Genomic DNA, 27,156 nt, shown 5'->3' with positions numbered 1-27,156 from the left:
GGACCCCAGGGAAGAACTGAGTGAGGGGCCGCTGTGTCCGTAGCATATTTGGTTCCTGTGTTCCAAGCCTGCACAGGGCTCTTAGCAGTATTATCTCATGTGTCTCCACACAGGTGCTGCCCTTAGAGGCTTTGGTGACTGATGCTGGAGAGGTGACTGAGGCAGGCAAGGCCTACGTGCCTCCACGGGTCCTGCAGGAGGCTCTGTGTGTCATCTCCGGTGTGCCAGGGCTCAAGGGTGATGTCACCGACACTGAACAACTGGCCCAGGAAATGCTGATCATCTCCCACCACCCATCCTTAGGTCCGTGGCTGCGGTGGGTGTGGGAGAGCCCAGAGCTTTAGGGGATGGGGTAAGAGCAGGCCAGGCAGAAGGCCTCAAAGAGCTCCCTTCCCCTTCAGTTGCCGTGCAGTCTGGACTTTGGCCAGCACTTCTTGCCAGGATGAAGATCGATCCTGAAGCCTTTATCACCAGGCACCTGGATCAGATCATTCCCAGGATGACCACACAGAGTCCCCTAAACCAGGTGACGGGCACATGAGCTGGTCTGGCCTCAGGTCCGGGAGGGGGCCCTCTCATCACAGTGTACAGGAAGAGAGGATTCAAAGAAGCAGGTGAAGATGGATGAAATGTAGGCTTGGACCCTTGGTTGCACGTGACAGAAATGTAAACTGGTTTAAGCACAAAAGGGAACTTACTGCCTCATTTACCTGCAAAGTCCAAGGATATGACTGGCTACAGGGGTTCACATGTTGCCCTTGGAACATTGTAGGTGATGTCTCTCTTACTCTGTCCCATCCATCTTTGTCTGTTGTCTCTGTTTTCCACGATGTGGGCTCCATTCTCAGGCTTTCCCTTTCTGGTAGCACAAGAGCTGCTAGAGTTCCAGGCTTTGTCTTGCCATCAGCTCCTAGGGGAATAGCTTGCATATTTCAATAATGTCTACTGGCTTGGGGTCGCTTTGACCCTGATTAATCTGACTTGGGTGCCATGCTCATCTCTGCACCCATCCTTCTGTTCTGGGTCACATGCCTACCTCTGGAAAAAGTGAGGGCAGCTCCACCTGAACCACGGAGATTGAGAATTGGGAAGGAGTGTATCACCTCACGTCAGGTGCTGTGTCAGACAGAGGAGCACTGCTTGGTGAGGAAAGCAGACGCAGACTCCAGCCGGCCACTGTGATGGGCATTGCCCAGGAGTAACAAGGCAGTGGCATAAAGAAGGGGAGCCAGTGCTAGGGGCATTCAGGTGTGGTGGACCTCTTGCCAGTGCCAGCCTTGGCACACACTGACCATGTCTGCGTTTGTCTGGCAGTCCTCCATGAATGCCATGGGCTCCCTTTCCGTCCTGTCGCCGGACCGGGTCCTCCCACAGCTCATCAGCACCATCACTGCCTCCGTGCAGAACCCTGCACTGCGCCTGGTGACGCGGGAGGAGTTTGCCATTATGCAGACCCCTGCTGGGGAGCTGTATGACAAATCCATCATTCAGAGGTGAGACCTCACTTATGGGCTCAGTTTCCTTTGCTCCCCAAGGCATAGTTTTCTTGTGTGTAGAATGGAGCCAGTGCCTCCTGTGAGTTGAATGCAACAGCCTATCCATTCATTGGCTAAGCGCCTGTTGTGTCCCCGGCACGGTGCTTAGGTCCTGGGTATTTAAGTGTGTCCAGTATCCGGCACTGTGCTGGTGCACAGTGCTTAACAGCTAGTTGGAATTGCATGGCTGGCGGGAGGCTGACAGGACTTGCGGTGCTTTTCAAGCTGGCTGATGACCCACTCTGGTGTTTCAGTGCCCAGCAGGACAGCATAAAAAAGGCCAACATGAAGCGAGAGAACAAAGCTTATTCCTTCAAAGAGCAGATCATCGAGCTGGAGCTGAAGGAGGTGAGTACACGGAGGCACTTACGGAAGGTGGCTGCTGAGCTTGGTGGCCTCAAGCTGGTGGCTTTTCCCACTGCACATATGCTGTTCACTTGGAACATCCTGAGGCCCATGGCACACTCCTCTGATGCCCCTGACCAGTGTCTGGTGCACTGGCACACTTTCCCTTCACCCTTGCTTCATAGCTTCTTCCACCCACAACTCAAAACCGGTTTCTTTCTCTGCTGGGTGCTGGCGACAGTGCACGTGTCTCCTCTGCTAAGTGGTGTTGCTGGATTCCATGTCTGTCCCTCCACTTCCTTGAAGACTGGGACCCATCTAGACTCCTGATAGCAGGCACAGCGCCTGGTACAGTGGGACTTCTGGGGAATCATGACTTGATTGCTGAATTCAGCTTTGGGCAGAGCAGGTTCTGACAGGAGCAGAGCACACAGGACTCTTTCCTTCTCAGCGTTTGCTCTTCTCTCTGTCTTTACAAGGCAGGATTCTTCTTGTCTTTCTCATCTCAGTCCACATGTGTGCTTCTCAGAGAGGTGGCCAGCTTGTCCACCCTATCCAAAGTAGACCCCACCCTTCCTCCCTTTTACTAAACATCATATTTGTTTCTTTACTAACATTTATCATAACCCAAAAGCATCTTGTTTATGTGCTTGTTGACTTGTTTATTATCTATCTTCGCCTGCTAGATTGTGAGCTCCGTGAGGGCAGGGACTTTATCTTGTTCCTACGATATTCCTGCCATCTGGAACAGTGCCTGGCACAATCCAGGTGCTCACTAAATGTTTGCTGAATGAGTGAGTGAGTTCTGTGGCTTGTTGTCTCAGGCCACTATAGCAGGCCTTTTCTAAGCTTCAGCTTATCCTGTGGGAGAGCTTATGTAGGAAGGGGTTGGAGAGGAGGAGGCTAAAGTTTTGATTCTGAATCCATTTGGCTGTCAGAATACCCTTTTGAGTACATTGAGGAACCTTTATTTCTCTAACATAAAAAGCCCTCTTAGCCTTTGTCAGTAGAGAATCCAGTAAAACAACTACTTCTCTATTGCTGTCTCCATTCTATAGAAACCAGGTGGCTGTGGACTTTGTGGGAGGTTGGGGGTGCACATGGTGGGTTCAGGGGCCCAACTCACACTTAGAGCTGGTATGGTGCTGTTTGTGTGGAAGCAAGCTCACCTTCCTCTGTTGGGGAGGGAGGTCTGTTCCCTGGAGATGGGATTGGTTGGTTTGCCCATCCTCTTTAGGAGATAAAGAAGAAGAAAGGCATCAAAGAGGAGGTGCAGCTGACCAGCAAGCAGAAGGAGATGCTGCAGGCCCAGCTAGACAGGGAGGCGCAGGTCCGGAGGCGGCTGCAGGAGGTGAGTGGCCACCTCCGCCACATGCTCAAGCCGGAAGAGTGCTGGGCAGCTTGGTCCTGCTGCTTGCTGTCACAAGCAGGGCCCTGCTGACCTGCCTTCTGGACAACTCTGCTTGCAGCTGGATGGGGAGCTGGAGGCGGCGCTTGGACTGCTGGACATCATCCTGGCCAAGAACCCGTCCGGCCTGACCCAGTACATCCCTGTTTTGGTCGACTCTTTTCTGCCCTTGCTGAAGTCTCCCCTGGCTGCTCCCAGGATCAAGAACCCCTTCTTGTCCTTGGCTGCCTGTGTCATGCCCTCTAGGCTCAAGGCTTTGGGTTAGTCCTTGTTTGCTGGCTGCAGGGATGGCCCAGGGGTGCCCCTGAGTGCTTGGACAGGGTGTGCCCCTGAGTGCTTGTGGGGAGGTGGGTGGTGACCTCAGCTGCTGAGTTTTGTTTTCTTGTGGAAGCAGCCTTGGAGACTCAAGCTGGATATGCTTAGGAGAGACGTAGTGCCTCCTCTTCTCTCCCACTTCACATCTGTGCCCTCCCTCTGAGGAGTAGGTTTTAGATGCTAGTCAGTGTTCGATCTTTGTATACCAGTTTTAAAACTAAGAAGTCAGAAGTTCAGTGGCAGTGAGGATGGTTTGGTGGCTCAGCCCAGCCCAGATCTCCTGAACAGCCACATGACAGCAGTGAGCAGAGGCCCTTGAGACCTTTAGCTTCCTCTTAGCTCTGGAGAAACAAACACCAGGTAGGGTGGCTGGCAGTTCTGGTGGCCTTGCTTCTGTGGGTTGTTTAGTGGCCTTCAGCAGACTTCTATCCTGGCCTAACGGTGATGTTCCCACGGGTGAGGCTAGAATCTGGGAACTGTTCTGAGTGGAAAAGTCAGCTGGTGCATATGAAACCTGCCAGAAGTGTCACCTGGCTGTCTGGGCTTGTTGCGTAGAGGTGGAGATGCTGCACAGATAGAGCTGTACTCTTGGCTGAATGACTCTTTGGTGGCCCTTGTCTCCTGTCAGCGTACTCATTTCTTAAATGTCCAAAGGGCAACTCTCTGCCTACCTGCCCTCTGAGGCTGTCACAAAGATCAAGTGAGAAATTAGGCTGGGGACATTTTGGCGAAGCAGAAAGATTTTTTTTTTTTTTTTTGAGACGGAGTCTTACTCTGTCACCCAGGCTGGAGTGCAGTGGCGCCATCTTGGCTCACTGCCAGCTCCGCTTCCCGGGTTCATGCCATTCTCCTTCTTGAGCCTCCTGAGTAGCTGGGACTACAGGCGCCCGTCACCACGCCCAGCTAATTTTTTGTATTTTTAGTAGAGATGGGGTTTCACCGTGTTAGCCAGGATGGTCTCAATCTCCTGACCTCATGATCCGCCCGCCTCGGCCTCCCAAAGTGCTGGGATTACAGGCATCAGCCACCGCGCCCAGCCGCAGAAATATTTTTTTAAGTCAGAAGGATGAGGCACTGGGTCCCCTGTTTTAGCCTGGGCTGGATTCCACATCTCTGTGTGTCATCTCCTGCTGGGTCTCTCCTCTTCAACACAGGCACTTTGGTGAGCCACGTGACCCTGCGCCTGCTGAAGCCAGAGTGTGTCCTGGATAAGTCCTGGTGCCAGGAAGAGCTGTCGGTGGCTGTGAAGAGGGCGGTGATGCTGCTGCACACCCACACCATCACCAGCAGGGTGGGCAAGGGGGAGCCAGGTAAGGGCTGGGACGGGATCAGGGGCACCAGGCGGTGTGAGCTGGTGCCAGGAATGCTGCTCAAGGCACAGCGTCACCCAGGGCCTCCTGAGCCTGGGGGATTGGACCATATGGAGGATTTCTGAATTGAACCTTCGTAGTCTGTGAATTGCAGTGAGCCCAGTTGAGGGTTTACTTTTTGTCACTGGTGTCCCCATCTCTGTTTTAACTCTCACATCCTGGAACTGGGCAGTGTTTGGCAGTAGAAGCAGAATTGGTTTTAGAACTGGACTACCAGCTGCTGTCTCTGTCCTCGTGCCATGTGCTTCCAGGTGTCAGAACGGGCCTCTGGTCCATCCGTTCCCTACTTTCCCTGAGGATAGAAATAGGCAGCAGTGGCCCGGGTCCCTGCCCTGCCTGCAGAATCTTATCTGCTTCTCGCTCTCACAGGTGCTGCGCCCTTGTCCGCGCCAGCCTTCTCCTTAGTCTTCCCGTTTCTGAAGATGGTGCTGACGGAGATGCCCCACCACAGTGAGGAGGAGGAGGAGTGGATGGCCCAGATTCTTCAGATCCTCACTGTCCAAGCCCAGCTGAGGGCCTCCCCCAACACCCCACCCGGGCGGGTGGACGAGGTTGGCAGGGAAGCTCTGCTCTCCTCTTGGTTTAAAGGGGATCAGGGAGGCAGGGCCTGTGGACACGTTTTGTCTCATGAACAGTTCCTGGTGGGGAAATAGAGAGTGTATGTTTATACCAACAGCAGCCTCACACAGTGTTGTGGGTTTTTTAAGGCAAAAACGGGTCAGACTGCTTCTTTCATGTGATTGTAGACTCTGGCTCTCCTGCCATGCCAGTACATGTCAGTTCACCTGATTGACTTTGTTGGCTGCATGAGATTCTGTGCTATGGATGTACCATGTTTTACTTAACTCTTTACCTGTTGATGAGTTCTTAAGGTTGTTTCTAACTTTTTCCTGTTTTGAACAGCACTGTGATGTGCCCTCTTGTATGTATATGCCCCTTACTTAACCAGTGTGAGCATTTCTTTAGGACAGGTTCATTGGACATGGAATTACTAGATTATATGGCATATTCTGAGCTATACTCTCACCAAGAGTTTTCTTTTCTCAAAGCCTTAATGCAACCTCAGATAGTATTAATATCGTCAGTGATGAGTGAAAGAATGATAATCTCATTTTATTTTGCATTTCATTTAAAGTTGAGTGTCTCTTCATATATTTACGGTCTTTCTGGATTTCATAGTGTGAATTTCAAGCAAGTTTCAGAATTTAGTTTTTAGTTCCTGAGGATCATGGTTGACTGGGGTTAGCACCTGTGGACCTAGTTGTAAACTTAATGAGGTTTCTGTGGTGGGGCCGGTTGTATGATCCAGAATGTTCCCCCGTGGGTGAGAGGATGCCCTGCCGTTGGCCGCCTGGGTTACAGACCTCCCCACAGCCTCATCTCGACTTACCTGCCGTTCTCTCCTAGAATGGCCCGGAGTTGCTGCCTCGCGTGGCCATGCTGCGTCTTCTGACTTGGGTGATCGGGACGGGCTCGCCTCGCTTACAGGTGATGTGGTTTTCAGTTGGCTGTTGCTGTGACTCAGTTCGTGACCCAGACCTCAAGTCCCAGTGTAAAGGGTGGAGTCCTAGTTTCCTTTCAGCCCTTACTTTTGGACTTTGGTAGAAAGACTGCTTTAGAGAGCCAGCCTGACTGTTGTTAGCTAGTGAGGGGTTTTGCTTGGGTCCTGCCACTGGAGCTGGGGTCTTAGCCCTTGCAGTGCTGTAGGGGTGGGTGTTCTCAGTGCATATCCCTCTCTGGCCCCCTAGTAGTAAATGAGTTGCTGACTGAACCAGTGGATTGATGTTCTCCTTAGGTTCTGGCTTCAGACACCCTGACCACCCTGTGTGCCAGCAGCAGTGGTGATGATGGCTGTGCCTTTGCAGAGCAGGAGGAGGTGGACGTGCTGCTCTGTGCCTTGCAGTCCCCGTGTGCCAGCGTGCGGGAAACCGTGCTCCGGGTGTGTGCTCAGTCTCAGAGCCACTGCAGTGTCCCTTGTCACTCTATGCAAGTGCAAATTGCATGATGGGCATTTGAGAGAATGTCCCTCACTCTGGTGGGAGGCCTAGAGGCAAAGAGAAGAAGTCACATGGTTGGGGTCTCTCTGAGAATCAGAACACTAAGCAGTCATGATGTATCACTGTATTTTTTCCTTTACCTTGGAACACTTCACTTAATTTTTAAACTGGAATGTGGACCTTGGTACTTCCACGGACAGAGCTAACTTGCAGGAGGAGTTCAATTCTTTAGCCCACTGCCATGTACTTGGTTTTTCTTCATGGCTTTTGGACCAAAAACTGAAGCATCCCCTTGTAGTGGTAAGACAGTGGTTCCTACCTGCTGATCCACAGCCTCCTGCTATTGATATGTGACAGAGTTTTCACTGGCTTTTGGTAAAATGTGAAAATGATGACAATATAGTAAATTTTTCCTTAAAATTTTTTTGAACAAAAGGAATACGCTTTTTCTGAGGTTTTTATCTGTCTGGTTTATTTAACGTTTTAATTTTCACATTAAAAAAACATTTTACCACCTCACACTCTAAGGAACTTACTTAGAGTTAATTTTAATTGATTTAACTTTAGCCACATGCGGTTAGTGGCTACATCTTGGACAGTACAACCTAGAGAGAGGTGAGGAGGCAGGTCAGAGGCTCTTCTGAAAGATGATGCCTCACACGGTCCAATCCCACCCCTTCCAGGGGCTGATGGAACTCCACATGGTATTGCCAGCACCTGATACTGATGAGAAGAATGGCCTGAACCTTCTGCGGAGACTCTGGGTGGTCAAGTTTGACAAGGAGGAGGAGATCCGGAAGCTGGCTGAGAGGTGAGAGAGCCAGCATGTCGCTTTCTCCTGCTGCATCCTCTCTTCCTTTAGGAAATAACTGAACCCAGTGTGCTCAGCCTCCAGTGGGAAGAAGGGCTGGGCTGGCAGGGCAAGTGCTGCAGATCTTTGTCTAAGCAGCCCCTGCCTTGGATCTCCCACAGGCTCTGGTCAATGATGGGCCTAGACCTGCAGCCAGACCTCTGCTCCTTGCTGATTGACGACGTGATCTATCATGAGGCGGCTGTAAGGCAGGCAGGGGCCGAAGCCCTCTCCCAAGCAGTGGCACGTTACCAGCGGCAGGCGGCGGAGGTTATGGGCAGGCTCATGGAGATTTACCAGGAAAAGCTCTACGTGAGTGACCTGTGCAGCCCTGATGCAGTCTGGGTGTGTGCGGTTGGGTGGGTCTCTGCTCACCCCGCTACTGCTCCAGACAGGAATCTCGGGGCTCACGGTGGCTCAGGGTAGCTGCGGCTAGTTTCCTGCCTCACAATCCTGGTGCCCAGGTCATTGATCTGCCCGTTGCAAAGCATTTACCAACTTGTCTGTTGCAGCGGCCGCCCCCAGTGCTGGATGCTTTGGGACGAGTTATTTCAGAATCTCCTCCAGATCAGTGGGAAGCCAGGTATAACAATTGTTCAGCCTCGTTCTACTCCAAGCTTTGTGAGATGTGGCAGGTTGGCTGGGTGGGTGCTGTGAGGAGGCAGCATGGGTTAATGAAAGAGCAGGACCTCCCTCAGAGTCGGGGAGGCCTGAGTTCCATCAGCCCCTGGAAGGGGTGGGATTGGACCGTGTGAGGCACCATCTTTCAGAAGAGCCTCTGACCTGCCTCCTCACCTCTCTCTAGGCTGTACTGTCCAAGATGTAGCCACTAACCGCATGTGGCTAAAGTTAAATCAATTAAAATGAACTCTAAGTAAGTTCCTTAGAGTGTCCTCTCCTGCACTAGCTGCGTGACCGTGAGCGTGTTTCTCCTTTTCCCCAGGCCTCTGTTTCCTCATCTATATGCAGGGCACAATAACAGAAGCTACCAGCCTTTCTCCACAGAGCCCATGAGTAGCAGTTGGAGGATTAGACAGATGTCTGGGAGCAACTGGGACATTGAAAGACACTTGCCTCCCACAGAGCAGGCTCAAAACACGCAAGGGTGTTAGTTCTCTGAATGGCTCATCCTGGCCGTGTCCACTCCCGTGAGGCCTTGTGTGTCAGTGTAGGGTGGTGTATGGGCCCATCCTGGCTTATTTTTCATTCCAGACCATCAGCCAGGGATAGGACACAGATTCTTTGCTCCATGACTGGAAAGAGTAACAACACTTTGCCCTTGGAGAATGTGTTCACTTCCACAGGCCTCTACATCTGGTTCTTTTACCTCTGTGTTCTCTTACAACCTGCTTTGCAGGTAGAGGGGTGAGCATTGCACTCACATTCCTCTCTGGGGAAACCAACACAGGGCTGGTCACCCAGTAGGAGGTAAAATCAGGGCAGATGGCAAGTCTCCATATGACAAGTGGGTTGTTCCAGAACATTGGGTGAGCACTGGGTGGTGGGCTTCAGGCTGTTCTCTGCCCCCAAAACAGTGTTTGCCTCAGGCAAGCTCCCTCTCCTTGCCGTGCACCAGCAGAGGTTCCACTGGCAGAGGAGGCCCCCTGACTGCCCCTCCTGATGTGCTCCCACTTCTTTCCCAGGTGTGGCTTGGCGTTGGCCCTCAACAAGCTCTCCCAGTATTTGGACAGCTCTCAGGTGAAGCCACTCTTTCAGTTTTTTGTCCCTGATGCCCTCAATGACCGACACCCAGATGTCCGGAAGTGCATGTTGGATGCAGCCCTCGCAACGCTCAACACTCATGGGAAGGTAAGGGGGTCCCAGCCAGGGAACACCCACGGGAAGGTAAGGGGGTCCCAGCCCGCTAAGGAGACACGGGAGGCAGGCGCTAGGGCTGAGCAGGGGCCAGAAATGCTGAGTGCCAAGAGTCCTGGCAGAGCACTTTGAGCCAAAAAGACCATGATAGTGTGTTAAATTCTTTTAAGTCTGTGGCAGTCCTGCCAGAAAACTGGAAGAGCCACTGGCTGGCATGTCAGGATGCCTGTCCCAGAGCTAGACTTGGTCTTGGTCCTCAGGGCAGGGACTGTTGTCCCCAGATGCAGCCTGTAGGGTTGACCTGAGGCTCTGAGGGGTTTGGCTTTCCAGGAGAACGTCAACTCGCTGTTGCCAGTATTCGAGGAGTTCCTGAAGAACGCGCCCAATGATGCCAGCTATGATGCTGTGCGACAGAGTGTGGTGGTCCTGATGGGCTCTCTGGCCAAGCACCTGGACAAGAGTGACCCCAAAGTGAAGCCCATTGTTGCCAAGCTCATCGCTGCCCTCTCCACCCCCTCCCAGCAGGTACCTGCCATCTGGCCTGGGACCCACATGTCGGTTAGAGAATTGGGACCCGGCTGTGGTTAGGCGGTGGGATACTAGGGGTGGAGTTGGACAATCAGGGCCCTGAAAGCCCAGTTCTTGTTAAGGATTCACCCCCTCTCGCAGGGGAGAGCCTGGTTTATAGTCAGGAACACTCCTGGAGAGGGAGTTTCTTTGTTACTTTGTTCTAGTAGACCTCCCAGATAGTTTCATTTTTTTCTACTCACCTGGTTTATAGTGAAGAATGCCCCTGGAGAGGGAGTTTCTTTGTTACTTTGTTCTAATAGACCTCCTAGATAGTTCCATTTTTTCTATTCACTAACGTGCACTGGGAATCCAAAGGGAAAAAAAATAAAAGGTCAGGCTTTCTCTTATGTCAAGCCTTTTTCTGGCCCTCTACATGTGTTGGTTGTGTGTTACAGGTGCGTTTTAATGTAGCCTCTAAGCTACAGTGCAAATAAATTTCTTTTTCTTTGTTTTGAAAAACACGCATGTATGTATATATAAATATATATATATTTATATATATATATTTTGTGTGTGTGTGTGTGTGTGTGCGCGTGTGTGTGTGGTTTGCATTTTGGACCACTTAGAGTGTCTTCATAAAGTGAACAGTTGGGCTGGGCGTGGTGGCTCATGCCTATAATCCCAGTGCTTTAGGAGGCTACAGGTGCGTTTTAATGTAGCCTCTAAGCTACAGTGCAAATAAATTTCTTTTTCTTTGTTTTGAAAAACACGCATGTATATATATATAAATATATATATATTTATATATATATATTTTGTGTGTGTGTGTGTGTGTGTGCGCGTGTGTGTGTGGTTTGCATTTTGGACCACTTAGAGTGTCTTCATAAAGTGAACAGTTGGGCTGGGCGTGGTGGCTCATGCCTATAATCCCAGTGCTTTAGGAGGCTGAGGTGGGAGGATTGCTTAAGGCCAGTAGTTCGAGACCAGCCTGGGCAACATAGTGAGATCCTGTCTCTACAAAAACTTTAAAAATTAGCCAGAGGTGGAGGCCATGCCTGTGTTCCTAGCTACTCAGGAGACCGAGGCAATAGGATTGCTTGAGTCCAGGAATTCAAGGTTATAGTGAATTATGATTGTGCCACTGCACTGTAGCCTGGGTGACAGAGTAAGACCCTATTTCTAAAAACAAAAACAAAAAACAACAAAAAACTTTACCAAAAAAATGCACAGTTGAAAACCAGTTTCCAAAATTGTGGTCAAATATGGTGTCAGAAAGCCTAAGCAGCAAAAGAGTCGCACCTGGGCACCTGCCAGCATGGCCTCGGGGTTGCTGCTCCCAAGCTGGGCTTAGTGAGCTGCGGCTGGGAGGCAGGATTGAGTGTCTTTTGGTTCCACTCAATTTGTGCCTGGTCCTATAAGGCCCTGCCCAATTTCTCTGTGATTTTGACAAGTTTGGAAACAGAGACACGGGCTGTTTTTATGGAGGCAAAGCAGCACACTTCTCTGGAAGCTTTCTTTCTGAGTGGATTTAGTCTTTAGAGTCCCTTCCTTGGTCCCCTGCCCCACTGCCCAGGCCTAGGTTTTCCATTTAGACCAGAAATGGCACCATATGGGCCAAAGCTTTTGTCGTCAGCAGATTGTAGTGTGCACCCTCAGAGGTATACAACACTGTGTATACCTGTTTGCTTCTCTGGTGCCCTGTGACATCCGCAGGCAGTGGCTGAGATGGGGCTTGGGACATCTAGTGGTGGGTGCTGTGTAGAATGGTCAGACCCCCCACCAACCATGAAACGGCTGCAGCGGAGCCACAGCATTGACAGGTGGGCCCTTCCCCAGGTCCAGGAGTCCGTAGCCAGCTGCTTGCCACCCCTTGTGCCAGCCATCAAGGAGGATGCTGGAGGGATGATCCAGAGGCTTATGCAGCAGCTGCTGGAGTCAGACAAGTACGCAGAGCGCAAAGGGGCCGCCTATGGCCTGGCGGGCCTGGTGAAGGGCCTGGGCATCCTCTCGCTGAAGCAACAGGAGATGATGGCGGCACTGACTGATGCCATCCAAGATAAGAAGAACTTCCGCCGGCGAGAGGGTGAGCATCTCTGAGCTTGGGGCTGCCCAGCATGGGAAGTTGGTCCCCAGGTTGCCAGAGGAAGGAATCTGACCGTGGCGCCCCAGGTGGAGGCCGTTGCTTGTGCGTGTACTACAGAGGGCCCCGCTGTGTGCGACCCAGTCCAGCTGCGTCCTTGCTGCTTTCCTTGGACTTGCAAATTTTTTTTTCTTTTCTGTTTTTTTTTTTTGAGACGGAGTCTCGCTCTGTCGCCCAGGCTAGAGTGCAGTGGCGTGATCTTGGCTCACTGCAAGCTCAGCCTCCTGGGTTCATGCCATTCTCCTGCCTTAGCCTCCCAAGTAGCTGGGACCACAGGCGCCCGCCACCACGCCCGGCTAATTTTTTGTATTTTTAGTAGAGGCGGGGTTTCACCGTGTTAGCCAGGATGGTCTCGATCTCCTGACCTCGTGATCTGTCCGCCTCAGCCTCCCAAAGTGCTGGGATTACAGGCATGAACCACCGCGCCCGGCCACAAATTTCTAACTCAGCAACACCCTTAGCTGAGAGAGGTTTGGCTTTTCTTTCTTTCTTTCTTTCTTTTTTTTTTGAGATGGAGTCCCACTCTGTCTCCAGGCACAATCTCGGCTCACTGCAATCTTCACCTCCTGGGTTCAAGCAATTCTCCTACCTCAGCCACCCTAGTAGCTGGGGTTACAGGTGCCCACCACCATACCCAGCTAATTTTTGTATTTTTAGTAGAGACAGGGTTTCACCATGTTGGCCAAGATGGTCTCTATTTCCTGACCTCGTGATCTGCCTGCCTCAGCCTCCCAAAGTGTTGGGATTATGGGTGTGAGCCACCGCGCCCGGCCAAGGTTTGGCTTTTTTAACTGTTAGTGCCAAGAAGTGAAGGTGGCTCCCCTGTGCTGTCCTCCCTTTCGCTCAGCCACATTCCTTTGCTGGGGCTTCTTGAGCTGAGGCAGAGGGTGCTGCCTCCTCATGGGGCATCTACTAGTTCCACAGCTGTTTCTGAGTGTTTCCAGAGGGGTGGGAGGTGGCAGGGAGGTTGCTGTCCCTTCTGTTCTCTGTGGCTACCCCCAGGGGACATTCTCTTCCCAGCCGTCCCACCTTCTTTTCCCCTAGGAGCCCTCTTTGCCTTCGAGATGCTCTGCACCATGCTGGGGAAACTTTTTGAGCCGTATGTGGTTCACGTGCTGCCCCATCTGCTCCTGTGCTTTGGGGATGGAAACCAGTATGTGCGTGAGGTAAGTCCCCGGACTGCTCGGGAGAACAGCATGGAAACTTTATGAGATGTGTTCCCAGCTGTGTCTGCAGGCCTTGGCACAGGGTCTGACATAATAGAACCCCAGTAAGCGTTGGTTATAGGAGGAACGCTAGGACTGGTGTCAGGCCTTGCCCCTTGCTTGGGTGAGGAGGCCCCTGAATGTGTTTTCTCCCCCCTTGAGGCTGCAGATGACTGTGCCAAGGCTGTGATGAGCAACTTGAGTGCTCACGGGGTGAAGCTGGTGCTCCCCTCCTTACTGGCTGCCCTGGAGGAGGAATCGTGGCGGACCAAAGCTGGTAAGACCACTCGCTCTGCCTCTCTTCCCAGCTTCCTGTTATGAAAACCAGCCTCAGCAAGGATCCTGGGTAGCCACAGCTCTTGTCCTGTGAGCTCCCCAGACCAGGGATAGGGTTAAGACTCTGCCTTTTTAAAAATTTGAGATGGAGTCTTGCTCTATCACCCAGGCTGGTCTTTACCTTTGGGGCTCAAACCATTCTCACAGGAGCATGCCACTACACCTGGCTAATTTTTGTATTTTTTTTTGTAATGATGGAGTCTCGCTATGTTGCCCAGACTGGCCTTGAATTCCTGGGTTCAAGTGACCCTCCTGCCTTGGCCTCCCAAAGCACTGGGATTGCAGGTGTGAGTCACCACGCCTGGCCAGCTCTCCCTCTGGCAGTTGGATCTTTCTATAGTTTATGTGCTTTCATGCCAAGAAACAGGTCTCTGACAAGAGCCACAACCCTAAGTCAGGATATCCTAAAGCTCTAAAGCTCCTCTTTGGCTTTAAAGTTTTCCCCCCCCAGGAAAGCTCTTTTTGAAAATAACCTTAGGCAGGAGAATCTCTTGAGGGCAGGAATTTAGACCAGCCTGGGCAATATAGCAAGACCCTACCTCTACCAAAAAAAAAAAAAATAGGCCAAGTGTGGTGGTGCATGCCTGTAGTCCCAGCTACTCAGGAGGCTGAAGTGGAAGGATCACTTGAGCCCTGGAGTTTGGGGCTGCAGCGAGCTATAATCTTGCCACCACACTCCAACCTGGGCAGCAGCGTGAGACCCTGTCTCAAAAATAAATAAATAAAATGTCTGGCACCCTAATAAGCAAACAGATAAAAGTAGAGCTGCTCTAGTTGGGGGAGGATCACCATCTAAGGCCCTCCCACTCAACCTCCTTCTCAGTCCTTCAGGCTTCACCCTGTAGTTTGAAACAACACAAATCTAAATCAGTTTCCTCATTTGTGGATGAAGAAACAGTTCAGAGAAATTCAGTGAATTGGCCTTGGATCTCACTGTAAGGATTAAACCAGGTCTTACCTATCCTGGTCTCTTTCTCCCATACTGCCCTGCCTCTCACCTGGGATCCCACTGTTCAGCAGGCCACAAGAGCTTTTTCGACCCCTCTGCTAGAGCCAGCCCCCTCTCCCCTCCTCCCAGTGACTGCTTGAGCACCGTCTGCAGGGGCCAGGGTAGATGTCCCTTGCTCATGTAGCCAGCACAGGTGAGTTGCTGGCCTTTGCTCAGTGATTCAGTACTGGGCTTGTGTCTGCTATCCACAGGGTCAGTGGAGCTTCTTGGGGCAATGGCGTACTGTGCTCCTAAGCAGCTGTCATCCTGTCTACCCAACATTGTGCCCAAGCTTACGGAGGTGCTGACCGACTCCCATGTCAAAGTCCAGAAGGCTGGACAGCAGGCGCTCAGGCAGATCGGCTCCGTTATCAGGAACCCGGAGATCCTGGGTAGGCCTTTCCCGTGAGGGTGCTTGCCCTGACCTCCCACCAACGCCGCAGCCTTTGGACACTGCAGGGAACTTGCACCCATTCAGCTAAGATCTTTGCCTCCGAGGACAAATATGTTCACAGTGAAATAGGGACACTGAGTCATTGGCTCAGGAGCAGTTTGACTCCAAGAGATCCCTGTGCACTAAGCTGAGCATGAGGTCAACAGAACTGAATGACATTATCTGGACCACATCAGCACCATTCAAAATGTTAGGACCTGTGAAAACTTGCTATTCCATCTCATTCCAGGAGGCCTTTGATAGAGGGGAGGGTTAAGGAAGGGTTAGGATTAACCTGACTACTCTGGATGTGGTTCTTTCTCAAGTACTGGGAAGAGGTCGATCGCTAGGAACAAAACCCAGCCAGCCACCTTGACCAGCATGTCACTTGTTAAATTCTAAGCTTCAGCTGCCAGTGCCCAGTCAGTACTTCAGTCTGGAAAGTGGAATAACCTCAAAATACATAAAACAAAATTTATAAAGCTATAGGGAAAAGTTAACAAATACATTATATCATAGTGGGAGATTTCAACACACTTCTCCATTACCGATAGGCAAACCAGAAATTTACTAAGGATACATGCTTTTCAAAAATTTTATTTCTGTGGCTCATGCCTGTAATCCAGCGCTTTGGGAGGCTGAGGCGGGCGGATCACCTGAGGTCAGGAGTTGGAGTGAAACAAGGATTGCTCTTTGTGGGTTTCCTGTCTTCCCCAGCTGGTGACTTGTGGGGTTTCAGGGAGGAGGTGTGCCAGACTCCCTTCTCTTCTGATCCATTCTAGTTCTGGGGGCCCAGGGGCCTTGCAGCTGCATAGATGTATATCATCCAGCTCTCTTCTCTTTGGATGTGCAGCCATTGCTCCAGTCCTCCTGGATGCCCTGACGGATCCCTCCAGGAAGACCCAGAAGTGCTTGCAGACCCTGCTGGACACCAAGTTTGTCCACTTCATTGATGCCCCATCCCTGGCCCTCATCATGCCCATTGTCCAGAGAGCCTTCCAGGACCGTTCCACGGACACGCGGAAGATGGCAGCCCAGATTATTGGCAACATGTACTCCCTGACAGACCAGAAGGTAGCGGCCCAGCTGAGGCTAGTGTGGGATAGACCAGAAGATGTTTGAGTGCAGAGTCAGAGGTGCAGAGTCCCCACATTAGACATGGAAAGTTATGGACGTTAGTCCCTAATTATTTTTATGGGGAGAAATGAGCCATTTTGTGGTGGAAATCCGGGCTCTCTGGGCATCTTAGCGCAGTGGTTCAAGTCCTTCTTAGTTCTCAGCTGAGGCCCAGAAAGGCCTGTCTTCTCTTTTGACCTCTCAAGAGTGTTGAAGTGCTTGCCACTTTGACTACTTGCTCTTGACAAGAATACTCCTGTATTGTTGTCAGGAGAGCCTGGTTTGGGAGATTTTGTTTGTTTGTTTGTTTGCTCCCAAGAGCTTGCATGTGTGATCTCACTGTCTGCCTTAGGAGCTCACATGTGTGGTCTCACTGTCTGCCATAGCTCTGCTTTGCTTACTGAGGCTATGGGCAAAAAAAATATATAAAAGTTATATTAATCCTAGAAAATTTGGGAAATTAAAAAACCAGAAAAACAGACCAGGCTTGGTGGCTAATGCTTGTAATCCCAGGACTTTGGGATGCTGAAATGGGAGGATAGCTTGAGCCCAGGAGGTTGAGGATACAGTGAGCCGTGATAATACCGCCGTGATAATACCACCGCACTCCAGCCTGGGGTGACAGAGCAAGACCCTGTCTTAAAAAGTAAATTAATTAATTAAAAAAATTAGAAAACCAAAATATTTTATCTACAGTTCCCCACCACGAAAATAATTACTGTTAATTTTTTTTTTTTTTTTTTTGAGATGGAGTCTTGCTCTGTTGCCAGGCTGGAGTGCACTGAATCAGTCTCGGCTCACTGCAACCTCTGCCGCCTGGGTTCAAGCGATTCTCCTGCCTCAGCCTCCCGAGTAGCTGGGATTACAGCCGCCCACCACCATGCCTGGCTAATTTTTGTATTTTTAGTAGAGACAGGGTGAAACCATGTTGGCCAGGCTGGTCTCGAACTCCTGACCTCAGGTGATCCACCCGCCTCGACTTCCCAAAGTGCTGGAATTATAGGCGTGAACCACCGTGCCCGGCCAATTACTGTTAATTTTTAAAATTACATTTAAAAATGGCATTCCTAAACTTAAAACTTATTCCCAAGTTATAACAAGTTATTCACAAAACTGATTTTTAATAGTTACATAATATCTCAACAAGTTTATATACCATAACTTATATAATTCTATCATTGGTCATATAGTGTCCAAGGTTTTTGGCTATTTTAAGTGATGCTGCAGTGAACATAAGGCATTTTCTGTATTTAAAATTATTCCCTAAAGCTGAATGCTCTATCAAAAGACATAAACATTTTGAGATGAAGAAAGGGAAGATGTTAATAAAATTCTGAAAGGAAATTACCAGAAGTAATTTGCTAAAGATTCCAGAGTCTGGACAGGCCTTGGTCCTAAGAGAAGGGTGGGAGGTGCAAGAGCATTGAACTCCTGTTTGTTGAGGATGGGCCTGGGGTCCCTTGTAGGAGTCCCTGAGCAATTGCAGAGGGCCTTGAAGGAACCAGTCGGAGAGGGGACTTACTTGCCCTCCCTGTTCCGTGGGCAGTGAGGTTTGCATGCTAGGTGCCCCTGCCAAGCACTCCTTGCCAGCAGAATGGGGAGGTCAGGGTCCACAGTGGAACAGGCCTGGAGAAAGCAGGAGTCGGGCCTCACCTGAGCCGCCTCCTGTGTTGTTGCAGGACTTGGCTCCGTACCTGCCCAGCGTGACGCCTGGCCTGAAAGCATCGCTTTTGGACCCTGTGCCTGAGGTGAGTCTGAGGTAGGCTGGGGGATGGGCCAGGCCCCTCATCCAGTCCCCATAAATGGATTCCTGAGAATTCCCCAAAGCTGCTTTTGTGTCTGTTGGGTAAAGAGAAAGAGGCCCTCGGTGCCCCTTCCTGCTCCCATGTGGCTACCTTGTTTTGAGCCTCATCTTCTCACACCATCTCTGCTCTCGGTTACCTGACAGGTGCGGACCGTATCTGCAAAGGCCCTTGGGGCCATGGTGAAGGGCATGGGGGAGTCGTGCTTTGAGGACTTGCTGCCGTGGCTGATGGAGACACTGACCTATGAGCAGAGCTCTGTGGATCGCTCAGGCGCTGCACAGGGTAAGGCCAGAGCAGGTCCAGTGGCCAGCCTGGGAATGCTCTAAGGGGCCCTCAGATCCAGTGGACTCATTCTGTCCTTTGTTGCAGGGTTGGCTGAGGTCATGGCCGGTTTGGGGGTGGAGAAGTTGGAGAAGTTGATGCCAGAAATCGTGGCTACAGCCAGCAAAGTGGACATTGCACCCCATGTCCGAGATGGCTACATTATGATGTTTAACTACCTGCCCATCACCTTTGGAGACAAGTTTACTCCTTATGTGGGGCCCATCATCCCCTGTATCCTCAAAGTAGGTACCATGACCTTGGCAAGGGTAGAGTCCTTGAGGAGGGCAGGAGGCAAGTGCTCACCTGGAGAGCTAGAGATCCCTGCTGGCTGGGGTTGGTTGGCAGAGCCCTCAGCCTTCAGTGAGCCCCATGTTTTTTGGGCTGGGGGCCTGGGGGTGGCAGCTCTGGCTGACCCACCCTCTGTGTGCCCAGGCTCTTGCTGATGAGAATGAGTTTGTGCGTGACACCGCCCTGCGCGCGGGCCAGCGGGTTATCTCCATGTACGCTGAGACAGCCATCGCCCTGCTGCTGCCCCAGCTAGAGCAAGGCCTCTTTGATGACCTTTGGAGAATCAGGTGAGAACTTGGGCAGAAAGACCCAGTGGGGATGATGCGTGGTGGCTCATGCCTATAATCCGAGCACTCTGGAAAGCCGAGGCAGGAGGATTGCTTAAACCCAGGAGTTTACGATGAGCCCTGGCAACATAGTGAGACCCTGTCTCTATAAAAAATAAAAAATTAGCTGGGAATGGTGGTGCACACCTGTAATCCCAGCTACACAGGAGGCTGAGGCGGAAGGATCACTTGAGCCCCAGAGGTAGAGGTTGCAGTGAGCCGAGATTGTGCCACTGCACTCCAACCTGGGCAACAGAGCAAGACGCTGTCTTAGGAGAAAAAAAAAGATCCAAAGGGTTGAACTTTGCATTTTGATAACTCCAGTTGAGAAATGAAGAGCAGAATGTTGCCAAGAACTCTCTCAACTTTTTCCAGACCCTTGCTTTTAACCATTTTGTAACTTTTCCAGTTTCCTGTAGCAATGTCTTTATTCTGATTCTTTTTTAAAAAGTCCTCTCTATACAGGCTTCCAATTTGTATTCAGATTTTAAGTGTCAAGTACTCTTTAATCTAAAAATTTTACTTATGGGAATATATTTCAAGGATGTAGGGAATGGTCAAGTGCTTAAAGCTGTTAGACATAAGGATGTTTGTTGCAGTATTGCTTACCATTTGAAAAATTGGAGGTTGATTTAAAAATATAGCACATTCATACAGTGGTCTTTTTTTTTTTTTTTTCCTTTTTGAGACGGAGTCTCGCTCTGTCACCCAGGCTGGAGTGCAGTGGCATGATCTCGGCTCACCGCAACCTCTGCCTCCCGGGTTCAAGCAATTCTCCTGCCTCAGCCTTCCGAGTAGCTGGGATTACAGGCACCTGCCAGCACGCCTGGCTAATTTTGTATTTTTAGTAGAGGCGTGGTTTCTCCATGTTGGTCAGGCTGGTCTCGAACCCCCGACCTCAGGTGATCCGCCTGCCTTGGCCTCCCAAAGTGCTGAGATTACAGGCGTGAGCCACCACACCTGGCCTGAAATAGTTTATCCTTTAAGGCCTCTCCTGGTTCCTCCACTTCTGATGATCAGTCTTCCTACTTGCCTGTTAATGCTTCCCCTTTTGTACTCACTTTATTTTTTATAACTTTTGTTATAGAAATTTTTACATGTTTTTAAAAAGTTTTTTTCCCTCAACATTAATGTATGTTCATTAGTAGAAAACTTGGAAAATATGTGGGCGAGTGTAAAGAAATGTAAACCACCTGACTCTTCCCATTCCAAGATGACCGTCATGAGTATTTTGGGTGCACTTCTTTCCATCTTCTGTGCAGTGCTCAGTTGTGCCGAGCCCACTCCTTGCAGCTGTGTGACTGTGTTGTTGGCCTCCTTCTCAGGTTCAGCTCTGTTCAGCTCCTTGGGGATCTCCTGTTTCACATCTCAGGAGTCACTGGGAAGATGACCACAGAAACTGCCTCTGAGGATGATAACTTTGGAACTGCCCAGTCCAACAAGGTGCCTGCAGTGGCTTTCCTGCCCCTGCTGATGGTAGGGTGTGCCCTGATGCCCATGCCATAGAGGCTTCACTACTCTCTGTCCCCTTCTACTGGCTGCAGGCGATCATCACTGCCCTGGGGGTAGAGCGGCGGAACCGGGTGTTGGCAGGGCTGTACATGGGCCGCTCAGACACCCAGCTGGTGGTGCGGCAGGCGTCCCTGCATGTCTGGAAGATTGTTGTCTCCAATACCCCCCGCACCTTGCGTGAGATCCTACCCACTCTCTTTGGGCTCCTGCTGGGTTTCCTGGCCAGCACGTGTGCAGATAAGAGAACGGTGAGTTTCCTGGGCCTTGTTTTGGACCAGCAGCCCCAGTGCCTCCTTTCAGAGCCTAGAAGGCTGGGTCTGCAGAGCCTGGGAAAGTACCCATCCACCCTGCCTAACAGAGGGACATTGTGTTCTTTACTTAGTCATTCTGCAAATATTTTTTGATTAATTTTATTTTATTTATTTTTTTGAGGTGGAGTCTTGCTCTGTCGCCCAGGCTGAAGTGCAGTGGCGTGATCTCAGCTCACTGCAAGCTCCGCCTCCTAGGTTCATGCCATTCTCCTGCCTCAGCCTCCCGAGTAGCTGGGACTACAGGCATCCACCACCACACCTGGCCATTTTTTTATATTTTTAGTAGAGACGGGGTTTCAGCACGTTAGCCAGGACGGTCTCGATCTCCTGACCTCGTGATGCGCCCGTCTCGGCCTCCCAAAGTGCTGGGATTACAGGCTTGAGCCACCACGCCTGGCCTCTGCAAATATTTATTAGCATCTCCTGTGCACTAAGCAGGGGCCTAGCACCTGGGGACACAATGGAGAAGAAAGGCAGCTTCATTCCTTATCCTCATGAGAGGTAGTCTAGTCGAGGAGATGGATATTAATCAAATAACCACACAAAGAGATGTAAAATGCGACTGTGGCCAGTGCTGCATGGCACTGCAAATGCTTATAATAGCTGCATTTGACCTGCTGGGGAGGGATGGGCCTGTGTTAGTGAACACTTCTCAGAAGAAATGATGCTGGAAGATGAAAGATAAGTAAGCACTAACCAGGTGAGGAGGTGGCGAAAGACCATTCCAGACAGAGGGAATAAATAATGTTTCAGATACAAAGACAGGATATGCAGAGGTCCCGTGGTGGGCAGGAACATAGCACCAGTAGGGGCTGAGCAAGGCCAGTGTGGCTGGAGTGAGGAGGCAGGGAGGAGCAGTGCGGCATGAGATCAGGCTGGCGCGCTGGCAGGGGCAGACAGATCAGTGGGCCTGGAGGAGGTGCCCAGATGGGCTGGTGATCATTTCTGCCCATCTCCTTTGGTCTACTTCCAACCCCCCATCCTTGGCAAGCAAATTGTGTATTTGGCTCTAAAGAAGGGTTTGCATGAGGTCTCAGAAAGTAGATGTTTTTTTTTCCTTAAAGCTTTGTTCCAGATTCGGCTCCTGCTCAGCCATAGCACAGTGTTAAGGCTTCAGTCATCCAGGGAAATTGGCCCTTGACTGTGCAGCAGATGATGAATTTTTTGTACATGTGTAAGGTGCTGCTGGCTCTTAATGTTAGGTTGTGTAGGTGTGTGTGAAACAGATAATTTTTTGGTAGTGTTTTGCAAGCACTACAGAGAGTATTTGGGGGCTCTTTAGGGGTAAGAGCATTTGGGGAAGTTAAGTCAGTGATTCAGATAAAGCCTGGGAGGTTTCAGGGCCCTCATTCTGGAGTCCTCCTCTGGGTGCCCTGGGCTTTGCAGGGACTTTACTTCCTGGATTGGTCTCTGTTGACAGATTGCAGCGAGAACATTGGGAGATCTTGTGCGGAAGTTAGGGGAGAAAATCCTCCCCGAGATCATCCCCATCCTTGAGGAAGGCCTGAGGTCTCAGAAGAGCGATGAGAGGCAGGGTGTGTGCATTGGCCTAAGTGAGATCATGAAGTCCACCAGCCGGGATGCCGTGAGTATCTTCCAAGGATCCCGCCAGCTGTGCACTGCAGACGACCTGACTCAGAGGGCGGGGGAGGGCTACTGAAGGAGGTTCACCTCTAGGGGGTTTGTGCTGCCCTCAGGGATGAGCCAGTCTCACTCTGGGGAGGTGCTGGCTGGGCCACATGGACTTGAGGCTCCGTCTTCTCAGCTTTCCTGTCAGTTTTGCAGGCTAAGAGCTAAGTGATTTGGATGCCTCCTTGAGTGGCCTTTGGAAACTGGAGATGATCGCTCTCTTACAACTGTGGAGGTTGCTCAGGATCAGTCTCTTTTGTGATGCTATATAAGTCCAGTTAAAATGTGTGCACCTCCTTCTGGGAAAGGGGATGGACAGCTGTGTGAGTGGGTAGGGCAGGAGGGTGCGGGAGGGGGTGTGCACTCACCCTTAGCAGGAGGGGAGCAGGTAAGAGTTGTGGTGCCAGGTGGGAGGAAGCATATTGCGTCTGGCAACAATACTGTTTCCATAGCAGCAACGTTCAAGGGGTGTGAAGTCCATTACTCTTACTTGGTTCCTGAGTTAAATGATCCTGGAGACCACCCTGGGGAGTAGGTTAGGAGTGCTTTTAGGCACTGCCTTCGTGTTTGGATGAAAACGCCAAAGCAATTAAGTGGATGGCCCGCTAGAAATGTAAGCAAGTGGCCAGTTGCTTGGCTTGGGCATCCTTGTCTGAATTCCTAGGATACCAGATCCCTCTTCTCCTATATTGATGTTTGTCTTACGTTTGGTTTTTAAAATTTACATTTGGCAAGGAATCAAAAGAAATTCTGTCATCAGAAAGAGTTGTGATTCATTGGAGAGGTAGAGTTCCACAGAGGCTGAGTTCTTGTCTGCAAAGTCCCCACAGTCCAATGGCAAGGCCCACATGCCAACCAGTCATTAGAATGCAGAGTGGGCTTTGCTGTGCTGGGATCGTTACTGAGGGAGCAGAGCCATTATTGGCTCCATTGTAGACCCAAAGACTTCATAGAGCACAAAGTCTGGATTGAGACTTGAAGAAGGACTTGGAGTTTTCCAAGAGAATAAGCAAAAGAAAGAGTCCAGGGAGAGAGGGGGCCAGATGCCATGGGAAGGAGTTTGCAGTTCTTAGAGAAGATGGGAGGTATATTGAGAATTCACCTAAAAGATTCAAGCTGTTGATTATTAAGTCTCAGTGAAGGATACATGGGGGTGCATCACATCCTCTCTGCTTTTTTTTTTTATTGAGACGGGGTCTTACTCTGTCACCCAGGCTGGAGTGCAGTGGTGCGATCATAGCTCATTGTAACCTTGACCTTCTGGGCTCAAGTGATCCTCTCGCTATGGCCTCCTGAGTAGCTGGGGACTATAGGTGTGCACCACCACACGTAGCTAATTTTTGCATTTTTAGTAGAGGTGAGGTCTCACTATGTTGCCCAGGCTGGTCTCAAACTCCTGGCCTCAAGTGATTCTCTTGCCTCCACCTCCCAAAGTGTTGGGATTACAGGCGTGAGCCACTGTGCGCGGCCCCTCTCTACTTTTTAATTTTTTTAAAATTTTTAGTTTAAGACAATCTCACTCTGCTGCCCAGGCAGGAGTACAGGGGCACCATCTCTTTTGGCTACAGCCTCTGCTTCCTGGGTTCAAGCGATTCTTGTGCCTCAGCCTCCTGTGTAGCTGGGATTACAGGTGTGCACCACCACACCCAGCTAATTTTTGTATTTTTAGTAGAGATAGGGTTTTGCCATGTTGACCAGGCTGGTCTCGAACTCCTGGCCTCAAGTCATCCGCCCACCTTGGCCTCCCAAAGTGCTGGGATTACAGGTGTGAGCCACCGTGCCCGGCCCCTTCTCTCCTTTTTTTTATTTCACAGTAAAGAGTTAAGTTAAAAGACAAGTCAGGCAAAGAGAGTTAGGGTGGCCTAGCTGGGTCAGAGTCCCCTGCCTGTGCTTCTTGTCTGCTTCTGCTCCTTCTTTGCCTTTCCTGCATCTGGTACAGTTGTAGCTTGCCATTGCAGGTGCTGTATTTCTCTGAATCCCTCGTGCCCACGGCAAGGAAGGCTTTGTGTGACCCACTGGAGGAGGTCAGAGAGGCGGCAGCCAAGACTTTCGAGCAGCTGCATTCCACCATCGGCCACCAGGCTCTGGAGGACATTCTCCCATTTTTACTAAAGCAGCTGGTGAGTGGATCTACCACACACCTACCTACCAGTTTGGCTTTTGCCGTCTTTGTAGATGGAAAATACAGGGCGATTATTCTGCCAAGGCAGTCGCAATGTGGGCCCTCCAGAGGGAGTGGGTATAGCAAGATCAGACTTGGCTTTGTGCTTCGCCTTCGGCAGTGAGGAAATGTGGGTGCAACAGGAGGGAGGGAAACAAGTGGAGAAGGAAGTTGGCGGTGGCTGGTTGAGACAGCAGAGATGCAGATTCCTCAGGGTTGTCCCCAACACCCTCTGCAGGATGACGAGGAGGTGTCAGAGTTTGCCTTGGATGGTCTGAAGCAAGTCATGGCTATTAAGAGTCGTGTGGTGCTGCCCTACCTTGTGCCCAAGGTAAATCCCAACATGTGGTCAACACCCTCTGGCTCCAGGGCATTGACATTTCCAGGGCCTGCAGTGAAGACCAGTTCTGAACGTAGATGTTGGAGGGCTGGGGGAGGAGGGTGCAGTGCAAGCATTACATCCTTCCCCTGTTGTCTTCCAAGATATGCTGGAGTAGATGCTTGGCTCTGAGCAGTGGGCTTGGGCTCTCTTGCCCACCCGTCTGTTCCCAGAGCCTAGCGCAGCACCTGGCACAGTATTCACTGAGTTAATGTTTGTCATTCCACCAGCTGACAACGCCACCTGTCAACACCCGGGTGCTGGCTTTCCTTTCGTCAGTGGCTGGTGATGCCCTCACCCGTCATCTTGGCGTGATCCTCCCAGCGGTCATGCTGGCCCTGAAGGAAAAGCTTGGGACCCCAGATGAGCAGCTGGTAAGGGGCGAGCCTGCTCCTGCTTTCTCATGTCCCGTCTGCCCGGAGGATCCCTGCTCAGCACACATGTCCCTTGTGGTTTGCAGGAGATGGCCAATTGTCAGGCTGTGATCCTCTCCGTAGAGGATGACACAGGGCACCGGATCATCATCGAGGATCTGCTGGAGGCCACCCGCAGCCCTGAGGTGGGCATGAGGCAAGCTGCTGCCATCATCCTCAACATCTACTGTTCCCGCTCAAAGGCTGACTACACCAGCCACCTGCGGAGCCTGGTCTCGGGCCTGATCCGCCTCTTCAATGACTCCAGCCCTGTGGTTCTGGAGGAGAGCTGGGATGCCCTAAATGCCATCACTAAGGTGAGGGGACTGCTGACCCCACAGCCAACTTTTGCTTTTAGAAAATTCCAGACATTTACAGGAATAGACTTATAAGAATCCCCCACGTACCTGTCACTCAGCTTCGGCGTTTACCCACTCGTGGCAAGTCTTGTTTATACTCCCGCCCACGCTTTCCCCATATATTCTTTGGAAGCAGTCTTGAGAGGGCTGTACATCCTCTCGCTTTTTCCTGGATTCCTGCAGAAGCTGGATGCTGGCAACCAGTTGGCACTCATTGAAGAGCTGCACAAGGAAATCCGGCTCATAGGGAACGAGAGCAAAGGCGAGCATGTGCCAGGATTCTGCCTCCCGAAGAAGGTAAGCCAGGGCCTCGTGCAGGGGGCTGTGGGCGTGCAGTCTGTTGTGCCCTTCTGGCCCTTACCCCTGTCCCAGGTCTGCGGTAGGGGCTGCTGGAGCAGTAGCCGTGGTGGTTGGTGTTCAGCACCTTCGCAGACAGCATGTTTTCTTCCATGGCAGTCAGATGGGGACAGGGTTCATGCTGCCTTTGGTTTAAGCTCTGCAGGTCACCTTGGCCAGAGTGAGTGGGCCACAGGGTAACAGCAGTGCATGTTCTCTCTGTGTGATAGGCCTGTTGGGGCCCTTGTCGTCTTTTCTCTGCCAAGACCGTTCCATAGCCAGCCCTCTCAGGCTGTGATCCTGAGATTCAGCCCAAATCAATATCTCCCATGGAGTTGAGGGGAGGACAGCTGTCAGGACCACTTTGCTTGCATGGGAGACACCAGGGCCCAGGGTGTTTGAGATTTGACTCTCAGTTGTGGTTCTCTTGTCAGGGAGTGACCTCCATCCTTCCAGTGTTGCGGGAAGGAGTCCTGACTGGCAGCCCTGAGCAGAAGGAGGAGGCAGCCAAAGCCTTAGGCTTGGTAATCCGCCTGACCTCGGCTGACGCCCTGAGGCCCTCCGTGGTCAGCATCACTGGCCCTCTGATCCGCATCCTGGGGGACAGGTTCAGCTGGAATGTGAAGGCGGCTCTGCTCGAGACACTCAGCCTCTTGTTGGCTAAGGTGAGTGGCTGATGAGTTTGTTCAGATCTTAGAGAACAGGTCTGTCTGCAGGAGCCTGATACAAGGTGTCATGTAGCAGCAGGGCAACAGATTTATTGTGGAGAGCCGCATAGCAGAGGGAGGTAAGACCTTGGACTTCAGACATGCTACACCATGGGTCAATTCCAAGTCGTCCTTACTAGCTCTGTGACCAGGATGACCTTGGGAAAGCCATATAACCTAAGCCTGTTTCCTCACCTACAATGTGAGACTAATAATACCAGCTGCCTCATGAAGGGCTGCTAG

The 27,156-nt window shown here is 51.1% G+C and overlaps 1 protein-coding gene and 1 non-coding gene across 2 annotated transcripts in view; both read left to right on the top strand.

Moving 5' to 3' along the window:
• The window catches only part of GCN1 (GCN1 activator of EIF2AK4), a 67,514-nt gene that overhangs the window by 31,343 nt on the left and 9,015 nt on the right, over positions 1–27,156 (top strand). Inside the window, exons 19-51 of the mRNA NM_006836.2 lie at positions 114–303; positions 402–526; positions 1,315–1,493; positions 1,790–1,883; positions 3,118–3,231; positions 3,350–3,548; positions 4,758–4,913; positions 5,343–5,524; positions 6,381–6,461; positions 6,769–6,912; positions 7,654–7,781; positions 7,943–8,132; positions 8,333–8,403; positions 9,464–9,629; positions 9,966–10,160; positions 11,982–12,228; positions 13,330–13,451; positions 13,653–13,767; positions 15,027–15,206; positions 16,101–16,321; positions 18,043–18,111; positions 18,312–18,450; positions 18,538–18,734; positions 18,925–19,067; positions 20,432–20,549; positions 20,651–20,866; positions 22,350–22,514; positions 24,517–24,678; positions 24,958–25,050; positions 25,329–25,472; positions 25,559–25,828; positions 26,054–26,167; positions 26,641–26,871. Of these exons, the coding sequence (NP_006827.1) occupies positions 114–303; positions 402–526; positions 1,315–1,493; positions 1,790–1,883; positions 3,118–3,231; positions 3,350–3,548; positions 4,758–4,913; positions 5,343–5,524; positions 6,381–6,461; positions 6,769–6,912; positions 7,654–7,781; positions 7,943–8,132; positions 8,333–8,403; positions 9,464–9,629; positions 9,966–10,160; positions 11,982–12,228; positions 13,330–13,451; positions 13,653–13,767; positions 15,027–15,206; positions 16,101–16,321; positions 18,043–18,111; positions 18,312–18,450; positions 18,538–18,734; positions 18,925–19,067; positions 20,432–20,549; positions 20,651–20,866; positions 22,350–22,514; positions 24,517–24,678; positions 24,958–25,050; positions 25,329–25,472; positions 25,559–25,828; positions 26,054–26,167; positions 26,641–26,871 (5,160 nt within the window). The remainder of the gene's footprint in view (positions 1–113; positions 304–401; positions 527–1,314; positions 1,494–1,789; positions 1,884–3,117; positions 3,232–3,349; positions 3,549–4,757; positions 4,914–5,342; positions 5,525–6,380; positions 6,462–6,768; positions 6,913–7,653; positions 7,782–7,942; positions 8,133–8,332; positions 8,404–9,463; positions 9,630–9,965; positions 10,161–11,981; positions 12,229–13,329; positions 13,452–13,652; positions 13,768–15,026; positions 15,207–16,100; positions 16,322–18,042; positions 18,112–18,311; positions 18,451–18,537; positions 18,735–18,924; positions 19,068–20,431; positions 20,550–20,650; positions 20,867–22,349; positions 22,515–24,516; positions 24,679–24,957; positions 25,051–25,328; positions 25,473–25,558; positions 25,829–26,053; positions 26,168–26,640; positions 26,872–27,156) is intronic.
• On the top strand, positions 7,874–7,939 carry MIR4498 (microRNA 4498). Its single transcript, NR_039719.1, has one exon. It is a non-coding gene; the product is annotated as a microRNA 4498 (primary transcript).

Source organism: Homo sapiens, chromosome 12 (genome assembly GCF_000001405.40).
Source record: "Homo sapiens chromosome 12, GRCh38.p14 Primary Assembly".
NCBI classification, from domain to species: Eukaryota; Metazoa; Chordata; class Mammalia; order Primates; family Hominidae; genus Homo; species Homo sapiens.
The sequence above is the reverse complement of the archived record's forward strand: the minus strand, read 5'-3'. Positions and strand labels throughout refer to the sequence as shown.